This window comes from Homo sapiens, chromosome 4 (assembly GCF_000001405.40).
Source record: "Homo sapiens chromosome 4, GRCh38.p14 Primary Assembly".
NCBI classification, from domain to species: domain Eukaryota; kingdom Metazoa; phylum Chordata; class Mammalia; order Primates; family Hominidae; genus Homo; species Homo sapiens.
This window is the reverse complement of record NC_000004.12, coordinates 104,649,582-104,664,293: the sequence shown is the minus strand read 5'-3', so window position 1 is coordinate 104,664,293 and position 14,712 is coordinate 104,649,582. Positions and strand designations below refer to the sequence as shown.

Here is a 14,712-nt window from a genome sequence, read left to right as displayed (position 1 = left end):
CATGCTTCCTGACAAGTTATACCGGCAGGGACTGAAAAGGAAGACTGACCTGCTCTTGGCCTTTTCCTCCCACATCCACTTTTTGCCTGCACAAATAGTACATAAACATAATGCTTGAGAATTGCAAAATGTTCAAGGTGATTTTTAAAATACAGCTATAAAATGGAAATATTCAAAAGCATTTTATGTTGTCTTAGACTCTTGAGTAAATTGTGCTGTGTGATAACATTTTTTCTGTCATTACTCTTGGAACACAATAACCTTCTTTCTGGTCTCCTTCCTGCCACTTGTACCTCTCTCCACACAACAACCAGTGATTGGTATGGACTGAATGTGTGTGTCCCCCCCGCCATTCATATGTTGAAGCCCTAATTCCCAATGGGGTGGTAGTTGGAGATGGAGACTTTGAGAGCTAATTATAATTAAATGAAGTCATAAAGGTGGAGCCTTCATGATGAGATTAGTGTTTTTATAAGAAAACACACCAAAGCGCTCTTGTGCTCTCTCTCTCTCTCTCTCTCATACCTGCCATGAAAAAACACACTGAGAGTGAACAGAGGGCCGTCTGCATCATGGGAGAGTCCTCCTCACCAGAATCTGACCATGTTGACACCCTGATCTCAGAATTCCAAGCTTTCAGAATATGAGAAAATACGTTTCTGGTTAAACCTCCCAGTCTATGGTTTTATGTTATGGCATCCCAAGCTAACTAATATAGCCATCTCTCAATAATGTACATTATATCTGAAACTTTGAAACTTTCCCGCTGAAAACCTTTTAAGGACTTCTTATTACTCCTGGAATAAAATTAAAATCCTTATCATAGTCTACAAGGTGCTGAATAGTCTTTTTTTTTTTTTTTCTGAGACAGAGTGTTGCTCTGTTGCCCAGGCTGGAGTGCAGTGGCGCCATCTCGGCTCACTGCAAGCTCCGCCTCCCGGGTTCACGCCATTCTCCTGCCTCAGCCTCCCGAGTAGCTGGTGTAGACTACAGGAGCCTGCCACCACACCCGGCTAATTTTTTAGAGACTGGGTTTCACCGTGTTATCTAGGATGGTCTTGATCTCCTGACCTCGTGATACGCCCGCCTCAGCCTCCCAAAGTGCTGGGATTACAGGCCTGAGCCACCGGGCCTGGCCAAGGTGCTGAATACTCTTCTCTTCAACCTCATCTCATATTGTCCCATGAAAAGCCATTTTCCACCACAGAAACTTTGCACTACTCATCCCTGCCTGCAATGCTCATCTTTCACTGCTTATTTTATTTATTTGCCTTATAAATATTTCTAGTTACTATGCCAATTATATACATAACTTTCTAAATATGTTTTTATTGTTTGTCTCTCTATGTACTGTTACGTAATGAAGAACATAAACTGCATGAGGACAGATATGTTGTCCTTTCCTTTCACCGATGTGTTCCTTGCACCTAGTACAGCATTGGAGACATAACAGGTACCTATAAAATATTCATGGAGTAAGTGATTACTAGCCTAGAATTCTCAAAGCATTTTTTAAATTTTTTTATTATTATACTTTAAGTTCTAGGGTACATGTGCACAATGTGCAGGTTAGTTACATATGTATACATGTGCCATGCTGGTGTGCTGCACCCATTAACTCGTCATTTACATTAGGTATATCTCCTAATGCTATCCCTCCCCCTCCCCCGACCCGACAACAGGCTCCGGTGTGTGATGTTCCCCTTCCTGTGTCCAAGTGTTCTCATTGTTCAATTCCTACCTATGAGTGAGAACATGTGGTGTTTGGTTTTTTGTCCTTGTGATAGTTTGCTGAGAATGATGGTTTCCAGCTTCTACTCACTTCCTTCTTTGATTCATTATTATAGTTTTGTTTTCTTTAGCTTGGGGTTCATTATAAAACATATTTACCTTTCAATTCCACATTTTTAATTAAACATGGGCTGCTGGTGTTGTTCATGGCTGGGAATAATACTGTTTATATAATATCTAGTATTTCCTCACATGTATCTAGAAGGCTTCTCCACAATAATAACTTTTAACCTGGAAAACTGAGGCCCAGCTTTGAGCCCTGAACTTAGAGGGGGCTACCCTGGCCTTCCAGGACCTCACCTCTATTCAATGGGTCAGGAGTCCATGGATCCAAGAGGATACACTCACCCAGGACCTGCCCACTGATTTTATGACCGGATGCCAAGACACACAGAACTCTAGAATCCCACACTCAAATCACCCAAGCCTGCTTCTAGGTCTTACAGGACCTCTTTTTTCAAGACTGGGTCCAGCATGTACCACACCCCTTGGCCTGAGGAGTAGCTATTACCATAGGTGTGAGCAGAGTCTAGACAAGTATACTGGGGTGTCTGCATGCCTCTGTGCAAGGCAGGACAGACCAAGTGTGGAGATGGGAAGAGAAATCAGCCTGACAATCAGTAATTCCAGAATCTGTCAGACAGACTTGGCCACAAGAGTAAAGAGGCCTTGGGCTCAGGCATTCACCCCAAGACATTTGCTGAGTTGTTCTACAAGCTTGGAGTTGGAATAAAAAAGAAGACTAGTCATGGAAAATTAAGATAAGAAAAAAATGAAGAAAATTTGCTGTTAATAAGGAAGTTTTAAGAGCTAAAGAAGCCCTAAAGTAAAAATTATATTACTAGGAGAATTTATTTGTTTATCTATTAAGTTTTTTTGGCTAGAGTACAAAGATTTTTAAAACACTACAAGTTTCATATATTACCTTTTCTCACGAGCCAATTCTTGAAAAGGTAAAGAAAGTTAGTTACTTCCTGTTTCTTCATAAGTATTCTTGAAGAATTTAATATAGACTAGAAAGTGATTTTTAAAATGCTTTGTGCCAATCTTCCAGAAGTTCTGCACAGTTGTACTGATTGCCTCTGTAGATATAAAATGGCAAAGTTTGTGACTCGAAAGCAAAATATAGACATGTTCTGATCCTTCCCTGAACGCACCTTAGTGTTAACGGTCAGGGTAGAAGGATGGCTGTGGATCAATTTTCATGGAGTAGCTGTTACTCCCTGCCTGAGGAGACATGAAAGCAGCCTTTTACCCTGAAGTAAAAGAGCAGCTATCTTGATTTATATCCACTCCCTTACTTTACTCTGGTTTATGCTCATAAGTAAGGAATTTAAGCTATATAGAATATGTATCCCCCAAAAAACAGAATCATAGAAAAAATACAGCATATAACTAAATTATTGTTACATTTGCATTTTAACAGACCTTAATGTTATTAATCTTAAAATTTTGTTATGGATAACAGCTATCATTGTACATATTTAAAATTGTCTAACTAGAGACAATTGGCTTTGATATTACACAATTGCCAGTTAGAAGTCCTTAGAAGTTTTATAAGGATAGAGAGGTAAAGTAATTCTTAAAATCCTGAATGAAATAAGTAAAGATAAGATCAGAAAGGTAAAAGTGAATTCAAAAAATAAAGGGGCTAAACAGAAATACAATTGGATCTATTGATGAGGGCAATAAAAGTAAACGATGCAAATTATCTTTGACCAGGCTGATGGGATTTGAAGTGTTGAAAAGTATCTCTTCCTTTCTTTTTATTAAAACAAAGAAAACACCTTCCTTTCTCTGTCTGTAAACTTATAGAAATGCATGTGATCAGATAGGAAAGAGAGTTTGACAGTCAAAATGTTGATTGAGGCAAGGACAATATGGTTCATAGGTTTTACTAATGGAATTTTTAAAAATCAAAGTCTTCAATGAACATTTCACGCACATTCACTGTTCTCAAAGTTGCCCAAGTATACAAAATCATGTATTAGATTCATTGAGCTACACTGCAAATTATAAATTAGTATTGGTTTGTATAATTTTCTTGTAAGATATGGTATTTACTTTATCTTCAATTAGTAAATTCAGAGCCTATACATGTGTAGTGAATTCTGTTTATAGGGCACAAAAATCTAAACATTAAAATCTTGAACTATTACATGGTAGGGTTTGGACTAAGATGAAATGGTAGTGAAATGGGTATCTTTGATAATGTTACATAAGAAGCATCATAGAGTCCAACATTTTTCATACTGAAAAGCTATTTTCAGGTGATTTATTGCCAATCTGGTGCCTTCTCTCTGCCAAAAATTTAGGTGCTTATGTGAACACATATACAACACCAAAGTACAGATCGGAGAATTCACAAGGAATGTCATCCCCAGGAAATAGGCAACCATGGTTGGCATTTTGCAGAGCATATTGAAAGAAAGTACACCTTAAATTTCAGTATCGGATGGATATCAGCCTAAAACTATAGGACCATATAAAGACTGTTGGTGAAATCTGAAGTTTGAGCCTTTCTGATAGAGAGACTGAAATTAGGCACCATTTAATGCAAATTGGTATGGAACACACACATATATAGATTATAGACTCAGAATATGAACATTCAGACAAGACTAGTTTTGAGATACCGGTTATCTAATGTGAATGGCCTGGAAGTTAATACCAGAATCACTCTGGATATCATTTGTAGTTTTGAAAATCTAGCCAGACTTATTATCATTCCTAATAAATTGTGCATAGTTCTTATTTCATGTTGTGGAATGATTATTCTCTCGTAATTTTGAGTTTAATAAAAAATAAAGTCCTGAAGAAAATGATCTCAAAAAGCAGGTATTTATAAAGAGAGTTATTTATCTGGGTAAACTCACTAAAATTTTAGTGAGTATTTGGGTGCTCAGATTTTAAAATCAGGCAAGAATTATTCCAGCTGAATGGTGTTTAAATAGAATAAGACTTATTATTTTCTGGGTGTGTTTTACCTAATCCTGGAATGCATATGATAAGATAGGCTGTAGTCTACAGTTTTTGCACCTAAAATCATTCAGACTTTAACACAATGAAGTTGCCTTTTCATTCTTGATGAACATCCGTTAAATTCAGAGTCACAGAACAAGATAATATCAGAAAGAAGTGGCCGGGTGCGGTGGCTCACGCCTGTAATTCCAGCACTTTGGGAGGCCGAGGTGAGTGGATCATGAGGTCAGGAGATCGAGTCCATCCTGGCTAACATGGCAAAGCCCCTTCTCTACTAAAAATATAAAAACTTAGCCAGGCATGGTGGCACGCACCTGTAGTCCCAGCTACTCGGGAGGCTGAGGCAGGAAAATCGCTTGAACCTGGGAGGCGGAGGTGGCAGTGAGCTGAGATCGTGCCACTGCACTCCGGCCTGGGCGACAGAATGAGACTTCATCTCAAAAAAAAAAGAAGTTGTATCATTTTTCTGTGGGGCAAAATTAAAAGTTGTATATATTATCACTTGGGAAGACTGAGGCTGGGAGCTAATTGTTGAGTTTCCTAAAATACAATATAAATATTTCTTATGGAGCCTTTTAGGATATCTCAGGTGATCAGATTATGATTACTAGGCAAACGCAAAAGTAAGTTTTAAAAACATTCTTCTTCCTGTTTACAATGGAATTTAATTGGTCTGATAAATCATGTATGTGCTATCAATTCTCTTTCTTATTGAAAATGGGTCAATACAAGTATATGCAGTTTTAACTCCACAATTGGACAGATAAAATGTTACATGTAAAATATTAAACTTAACAAACCTAAGCATCAGTCATTTAAAATGCAAGTAGCTGGCCTTGTTGAACCATTCATATTTTCCTAAATCCAACATATTCTCTCATATCACTTTGCCTCTATACAAGTTCCTTAGAATGACCTCTCTCCTCTTTCTAATTTAGCTAATTCCTGCTCATCTGTTAAAACTCAGCTCACCCATCACATTCTCCAGGCATCCTTCTTTATCATCCTTCTGCCCATGTCAGTTATTCCAGTTTGGATATTCTCTTTCTGTGTTTCCATAACCTTCCAGGCTTTTGTCTGTTATAACACTTATCCTCCAATACTATGTTCATCTTTTTGTTTTTCTGCTTTAACAGAGAATACCAAATGAATCTTTTAATTTTAAATTATCAGTGTAAGCAGTGCCAGATAGATAATAGGTGCTCAATACTAGGTGCCTAAAAAATTAAAGTTAGTAGAAGAAATTTTGCAGCATATGGAGTGATGTCAGAATGCAAGTGATTCAGTTTTTGATAGACTTTGATGTGTTGGAAAGGAGAAACATCAATTGCCATCAGTGAAAACGTCTTATTACTAGTCATCTGGAACAGTTCATATTTGACGAACCTAATGAGTATAGAAGCTGCCTAAAGAGCCCTCTATCAGATGAAATGGACAGCCCTCTTCAACCAATGACATTGTTGGTCTGAGGGCTAGTTAACCTAAAAAGGTATAAAATAAAAGACTGTTGAGGCAAGATTCTGAAGCACTCTATCACTATCATAATTTTCCCAGTTAACATATTTTTAGTGCCTATTCTGCATCAGGTATTGTATTAGTCCATTTTCACACTGCTATAAAGAACTACCTGAAACTGGGTAATTTATGAAGAAAAGAGGTTTAATTGACTCACAGTTCCACAGGCTTAACAGGAAGCATGACACTTGGAGGCCTTAGGTAATTTACCATCATGGCTGAAGTTGAAGGGTAAGTAAGGCCCTTCTTCACGTGGTGGCAGGAGACAGAGAGAGTGAAGGGGGAAGTGCCATACACTTTAAAACCATCAGATCTCCTGAGAACTCACTATACTTGAAACAGTAACGGGAAAATGTGCCCCTATGATCTAATCACCTTCTACCCGGCCCCTCCCCTGACACATGGGGATTACAATTGGACATGAGATTTTGGTGGGGACACAGAGCCAAACTATATCAGGTATCCATAAGCATTTTTTGTACATCATTTTTATTTAATCATTACAACTTAATTGAAATAGGCATTGGTATTTCATACACACTGCAGATGAGAAAATTGAGAATTTGGGAAAATAAGTAAGTTGCTTAAAGTCACACAGTAACAGAATTTAAATGCTGGTCTATCTCTAATGCCCATGATCTTCACTGTTCAGCTATTCTGTTTCCATTAGATACAGCCTAGATTATTCATTGGTGTTTCATTTCCCTACTTATTGTCACCATCAGTTATTTTCTGACTCTTCCCCTTCACAGCAGTGAACCCTATAACTGACTGACTCCTCAAGCACCCTCTTCCAGTGTTAATCTAGCAGCAGGACTAATTTATCAAGACTGGGGGGAATAAGAGGAAAGTTTGATCTTCTCACTTGAAACTCCTACTCTCAATCCTCCATTTCCTTCTGCTAAATATTCATTATGCAGAAAGGAACACAGAATTAAAACAGGAGGAAATGAAATGGGTGGGTGACATGATTTGGCTCTGTGTTCCCACCCAAATCTCATCTTGAATTGTAATCATCCCCACATGTCAAGGGCAGGGCCAGGTGGAGATAATTGAATCATGGAGGCAGTTTCCACCATGCGTTCTCGTGATAGTGAGTGAGTTCTCACAAGATCTGATGGTTTTATAAGGGGCTTCCCTCTTCACTCGGCACTCATTCTCTCTCCTGCTACCCTGTAAAGAGGTGACTTCCACCATGATTGTGAGTTTCCCGAGGCCTCCCCAGCCATGTGGAATTGTGAGTCAATTAAACCTCTTTTCTTTATGGATTGATTACCCAGTCTCGGGTATTTCTCCACAGCAGTGTGAGAATAGACTAATACAACGGAGAAGAGAATAACCTTAATTTTGCTTTTTCCATCCCTAATCCTAACACCATCACCACACTTCTTCTACTGAAACACTTACAATGTGATTATGTGATGAAAAGAAAAGAGACAGAGATGAGAAAAGGAAATCATGTGGAAAATATGATGGTAAATACCATCAGCATTTTTTCTTCCATCTCTACCAGCCAAATCCCCCTAACTCCCAAACTCACTTATCCCTTGTATAAATAAACATTTCTATTGAAGTATAATACACAGTGTACAAATCATAAATGTATTTTAATAATTTTGTACAAAATGAACACATTTATAGTCACCACCCACATCAACAAACAGAACAGTATCAACACATTATGAATTGAAATTGCATTTTCCTGGTGATTAATAAGCTGCAACAACTCAGATATTTAATAGTCATTTGAATATTTTATTTAGTGAGCTGTCTTTTCAAGTCTTGCCTATTTTTAAAATTGTGTTGCCTGTCTTTTATTAACTTGTAAGAGTGATAAACACACACACACAAACACACACATATAACACATATATGTTATATGTATTGCAAATATTTTCTTTCCCTTATTTGTTTGCCTTTGAAGAGTATTGTCTTTGATGAAAATAGGATTTTTAAAATTTTAATATAGTTTTACATAATTCCATATAATTTTTTAGTTTTCTGTAATCCATGAAATGTTAATGTAATCCAACTCATAAATATTTTTTCTAATGATTAGTACATTTTGTGGTCTGTTGAAGAAATCTTTGCTGCAAAATTATGAAGATATTCTCTTATGTTATCTTCCAGAAGCTATGTTTTATCTCATGTAAATTTTGATCTATAATCCATCTGGAACTGATTTTTGAGTGTGGAGTGAATTGTGTGTTAAGAATCATTTTTTCTTCTGAATATGCAATTAACTCGTTATTATTTTTTGGAAAAGCCCTCCTTTCTCCACAGCATTGTGTCATCTTTGCCCTAAGTCAAGTGTTAGTAGTGGTGACAATCTGCTGCTGGACTCTATTTTGCCCTGATTTAATTGTCTATCCAAGTGCCAATGCCATACTCTCTTAATTTATGTAATGTCTTCAAATTTTGTTCTTTTTAGAATAGCTTGGCTAATTGAGACTCTTTGCATTCCATTAGTCTTAAAATCTGATTGCCCATTTTTACAAAAATATAAACAAAACAAAACACTTTCTAGAATTTTTACAGGAATTGCATTAAACACATAAGCCAATTTGCAGAAAACTGAAATCTATTGAATACTGAGTCTTCCAATCTAAACACTTGGTATATTAGTAACCTCTCAGTTTTTGTAGGTCTCTTTAGTGCTTCTCACAATAATTTATTGATTTGCATATTTAGAACTTTTATGTATTTTGTCATTTCCTACATATTTTATTATGCTATTTTAAATGTGAGTTTTTAGTTTTATTTCTTATTGGTGGTACATATAAATACCTTTGCTTTTTAAATACTGTTCCTCTGTGCAAAGACATTGCTTAAGTTGTACTGCTTTTAGTAATTTATCTGTATTTACGTTGGGCTTTTTAATGTAAAAACATGTAAACCTTAAATAAAAGTTTTATTTCTTTATTTTCCATTTTTGTACTTTCTTCCTTCCTTTTTCCTTCCTTACCTCCTTCTCCCCACTTTCTGTCACTTTTCCATCTCTCTTCTCCTTGTTCTTCCTCTTCTCTTGCTCTCTCTTTTTCTCTCTCTGTATCTCTCTCCCTGTCCCTTCCTTCTTTTTCATTTTTTTTTTGTTTTTTGCCATATTGTACTAGTAGAAACCTTCAAAATGATAATGAATACAAATGGTAATAGGGTACATTCTTATCTTATTCCCAGTCCCATGATGAAAACTTTTAATACTATAGCATTAAATATAATGTTTATTGTAGATATTATTTCTACAATAGACATCATCTACAATGATTAGATATCTCTTCTAATCATAATTTTCTAAGATAATTTAATTATGGTCTGTAATCATTTCCAATGCTTTTCCTGCATCTTTTGAGGTCTTCATAGAATTTTCCTTTTTATTTTGCTAATGTGATGAATTACTTTAATTTTATAATATTAAAGCAACCTTGCTTTCTGGAATAAGTTCAAGTTTTTTGTAATATAGTTTTTAAAGTATATACATTTGAATTTTATTTGTTCGTAGTTTTACAAACATTGCATTATATTTATAAAATATATTGACTTGTAATTTTCCTTTCTTATAATGAACTAGTCAAGTTTTAGTATCAAGCTTTCATTAGCCTTAAAAAATAATTAGAAAAATTTTACTTATGTTTTTTAGACTAGTTTGCATGGATGGTACTATCTTTCTTAAGCTGCTTTGAAGAAATAACTATTACATTGTCTGGTTCTTACATTTCTTTGATATTGTTGTAAATTTTTAGTTCCAGTTTCAATTTGTTGTAAGCTCTTTATAGTATTTTTATATTTTATAATAAAATCTGTAAAATAAATCTACCTGTTTGTTTCTGATGTTAGTAATTAGTACCTCCTTCCATATGTAATTTCAGTTGTTCATTTTTATATGTAGGGTATCAGTTGACTTTCGTATATTGACTTTTTATCTTGTGAAATTTCAATGCTTACGTATTAATTCCAAGATTTTTTTTTGTTGATTCTATAGAATGCTTTTCCACAGGCAATCATGTCTTCTATGAATAAAGACAGTTTTATTTTTTTCTTCTCAACTAACATGTATTTATTTCATTTTCTTGTTTTATTGCACTAGCTATGACCTTCACTGCAATGTTGAATGGAAGTGGCAAGAAAGGATATCCTTGTTGTGTTCCTGATCTCAGGAGAAAGGCATTCAGTTTCTTACCAGTAAGTATGATGTTAGTTTTTCTGTAGCTATTCTTTATAAAGTTAAGTGAGTTCCCTCTATTTCCAGTTTGCTGAGGGTGTTTTTTCTTTTTTAATCTTGATTAGGTGTTGGATTTTGTCAAATGCTTTCTCTGCAACAATTAACAGGATCATATGATTTTTCTTCTTAAACCTGTTGTGGTGGGTTGTACTGATTGTTTTTGATATACCTTGAATAAATCCCACTTAGCTATTGCTATGGTTTGAATGTTTGTCTCCTCTAAAACTCATGTTGAAATTTAATTGCCGGTGTAATGGTATTGGGAGGTGGAGTCTTTAAAATGTTGTTAGGCCACAACAGATCCACCCGCATAGGAGTTTTAATGCGTTAAATAAAAAGTCTTCAGGAGCTCTCTCTCTCTCTCTCACCCTCTCACCTCTTGGCATGTAATAATGCAGCAAGAAGGCCCTCATCAAAAGCCAGCAGCTTGGTATTGAACTTTCCAGTCTCTAGAACTGTATGCCAATAAGTGTCTGTTTATTATAAATTATAGAGTCTTTGGTATTCTGTTGTAGCAGCACAAAATAGACTGAAATGGCTATGGTATATAATTCTTTTTATAAATTGCTGGATTCAATTTGCTTTGTTGAAGATTTTTGCATCTAAGTTAATGACAGATATTGATCTGTAGTTTTCTTTTCTTGTAATGTCTTTATCTGGTTTTGGAAATATGATAATGTTGACCTCATAGCATAATTTAGAAAATGTTAGTGCTCTATTTTATTGAAAATATTGTAACAAATTAGCATTATTTCTTTCTTAAATGTTTAGTAAAATTTACCAGTGTAACCATCTGGAACTGGGTTTCCTTTTTTTGAAAGGTTACTATTTACTCAATTTTTAAAATAAACATACAAATATTTACATTGTTTCCCCTTGTGTGAGTTTTGATAGTTTGTGTCTTTCAAGGAAATTCGTGGGCATAGCATTGTTCATAGTATTCCTTTGTCAACCTATCATTGTTCATGTGACTAGTAAGGATGCTCTCTCTTTTATTTCTGATAAATTGTGTGTTCTTTCATTTTTTTCTTGATTAACATGGCTAGAATTTTTAATTTTATAATTATTTTTAAAAAATCAAATATTAAATGTATTGAATTTATCTATTGTTTCTATTTTCAAATTTTGACCATTTCTGTTTTAATTTTTATTGGTTTCTTTTCTTGTGCTTGTCTTAGGCTAAATTTCTATTCTTTTTGTAACTTCTTAAAATGGAAGCTTATATTATTGATTTTAGATAGTTTTTCTTTTCTGATATATATATTTAGTGTTATAACTAAAAATTTCCCTCTTAATACTTTCACTGCATCCCACAAATTATAATTTGTATTTTTAATTTCACTTAGTTCAAAATGTATTTTATTCATTTTGAGACTTCTTCTTTGACCCATTTGTTTTTTAGAAGTGTTATTGCTTAATCTCCAGATATTTGAAAATTTGTTTGTTATTGATTTATATTTTAATTTCATTGTCATCTGAGGACATACTTTGTATGATTTTTATCCCTTTAAAGTTAAGATATATTTCATGGCCAAGAATGTGGCCTATCTTAATGAAAGTTCCATGTGAGTTTGAAGAGAATGTGTTTTCTGCTTTTCTTTAAGGAAGTGTTCTTTAAATATCAATTAGTCGGAACTGATCGATAGTGCTGTTCAGGACAACTATATCCTTATTGATTTTCTGCCTGCTGAATCTATCAACTACTGAAAGAGGGCTTTTGAAGTCTCCAGCTATAATAGTGGACTTGTCCGTTTCTTTTTACAGTTTTAACAGTTTTTCTCTTGTATTTTGATGCTCTATTGTTAGGTGCATACATGTTAAAAATTGTTATGTCTTCATAGAGTATTGACCTTTCTATCATTATGTAGTGCTCTTGTTTATCCCTGAGAATTTTCCCTATTCTAAAATCTGCTTTTGTCTGAAATTAATACAGCTACTCCAACTTTCCATTAATTAGTGTTAGCATGATATATAATTCTTCTTCCCTTTTAATTTATTTGAATGTTTATATTTAAAATATATTTCTTGTAACAACATTGCTGTCATTACTTTCACTTGTTCATGATATAATTATCCAATACAATGTTGCTATTATTTACTTTTTAAATGTTTTTAAAAATTTATTTTTTATTTTGACATATTGTAATTGCATATAATTACAGGGTACAGTTTGATGTTTTGATATATATCTATGTTGTATAATGATCCAATCAGGGCAATTAGTGTAACCATCATCTTATGCATTTTCTGTGATGAGAATATTCAAAAGCCTCTTTTCTAAGTGTTTTGTAATATGGAATATTTTAATGTTAACTACAGTCATCCTATTTTACAATAGAACCACCCAATTCATTTTTTTCTATTTAATTAAAAATTTGTACTAGTTGATCAACCTCTTACCATTCTATTATTCCTCCTCCCCTTCCCAGTCTGTAGTAACCACAGTTTTACTCTGCTTTTATATCAACTTTTTAAAAAAGATTCCATGTATGAGTGAGATTATACAGTATCTGTCATTTAGTCTCTGGCTTATTTCACTCAACATTATATCCTCTCTCTCTCTATATATATATCACAATTCCTTTATCCATTCATCTGTTGTTAAACTTTTGGGTTGATTCCATATGTTGGCTATTGTAAATAGTGCTGCAATAAACACGAGAGTGCAAATATCTTTTTGACGTACTGATTTCCTTTCCTTTGGATATATATGCAATAGTGGCATTTCTGAATCATATAGTAATTCTATGTTTAATTTATTGCGGAACCTACATACTGTTTTCCATTATGGCTATACTAGTTTACAATCCCACCAAGAGTGTGTAAGTGTTTCCTTTTCTCCCCATTTTAGCCAATACTTGATTTCTTTTATATTTTTGGTAATAGCCATTCCGACTGGAGTAAGGTGGTATCTCATTGTGGTTTTGCTTTGTGTTAATGACACTGAGCATTTTTTTCATATACCAGTTGGCTATTTGCATGTCCTCTTTTGAAAAATATCTATTAAAGTTGTTTGCCCATTTTTTATTGTTATTTTTTCTCTTTCTATTGAGTTGTTTAAGTCTCATACATTCTGGATATTAACCTCTTGACAGACATAAAGTTTTTGTCTATTTTCTTTCATTCTGTAGGTTGTCTCTTTACTGTGTTAATGTTTTCTTTGCTGTACAAAAGCTTTTGAGTTAGATTTAATTCCATTTGCCTATTTTTATTTTTGTTGCCTGTGACTTTGCAGCCTTATTAAAAAATAAGACTCTTTCCCAGCCCAATTTCATAAAGCTTCTTCTCTATGTTTTCTTCTAGCTGTTTCATAGTTTTGAGTTTTACATTTAAGTCTAATTTATATTGAGTTGATTTTGTATATGTTGAGAGGTAGTGGACTAGTCATAGTCTTCCACATGTAGATATTCAATTTTCCCAGCACCATTTATTGAAGAGACCATCTTTCCCTCAATGTATGTTCTTGGTACCTTTGTAGAAAATTAGTTGGCTGTGGATGTGTTAATTTATTTCTGGGTAGGCTATTTGGTTCCATTAGTCTATGTGTCTGTTTTTATGACAGTACCATGCTGTTTTGTTTACTATAGCTTTGTAGTATATTTTGAAGTCTGGTAATATAATGCATCCAGCTTTGTTGTTTTTGCTTAGGACTGTTTCGGTTATTCAGGGCCTTTGTGGTTCCATATGAATTTTACAAAAACAATTTGAACCCTTCTTTGCAATTTGGATGCCTTCTTTTTGTTTCTTTCATCTAGTTGCTCTGGCTAAGACTTACGGTATTATGCTGAATAGCAGTAGTGAAAGTGGGCATCCTTGTCCTACTCAGCTGAATATCCACATCCTCATCTCAGATGCTGGGGCAGTGGAAGGGATTACTCAGCAGGGGATACTTGGCATAGAGACAAGTTTCTCCTCAGTTAACTGGCAGTACCAGTGTGTGTGGGCTTACTTGTGGGGATAAGGCTGACCTTCTCCTTATCAGTAGATCAGTCAAGTTTGTTAAAATTCCTGCACAGTTATCCTGCCCCCAAAAAGATTACAAATCAATTATACAGAGTATGACTAACAGAAATAAAGTGTACTGGCTGCAGCTTCTATATCCATGGACTCTGTATTAAGGGGAACCATATTCTTAGTGTGTTGCCAAGGGCTTACAGTTGCTGTTGTTTCTCACATTGGCCATGTTTCTCCATAACCCCTGAACC

General features: G+C 34.6%; 2 long non-coding RNA genes across 2 annotated transcripts in view; one reads left to right on the top strand and one right to left on the bottom strand.

Annotated features, from left to right (window-relative positions):
- Window positions 1-14,712, bottom strand: part of CXXC4-AS1 (CXXC4 antisense RNA 1) — a 206,628-nt gene that overhangs the window by 33,299 nt on the left and 158,617 nt on the right. The window contains exons 5-6 of the long non-coding RNA NR_125926.1: window positions 5,088-5,209; window positions 2,717-2,873 (exon numbers count right to left, since the gene is read on the bottom strand). This is a non-coding gene — a long non-coding RNA (CXXC4 antisense RNA 1). The remainder of the gene's footprint in view (window positions 1-2,716; window positions 2,874-5,087; window positions 5,210-14,712) is intronic.
- LOC124900745 (uncharacterized) overlaps window positions 8,355-14,712 on the top strand; it is a 141,925-nt gene continuing 135,567 nt past the window's right edge. The window contains exon 1 of the long non-coding RNA XR_007058211.1: window positions 8,355-10,467. This is a non-coding gene — a long non-coding RNA (uncharacterized LOC124900745). The remainder of the gene's footprint in view (window positions 10,468-14,712) is intronic.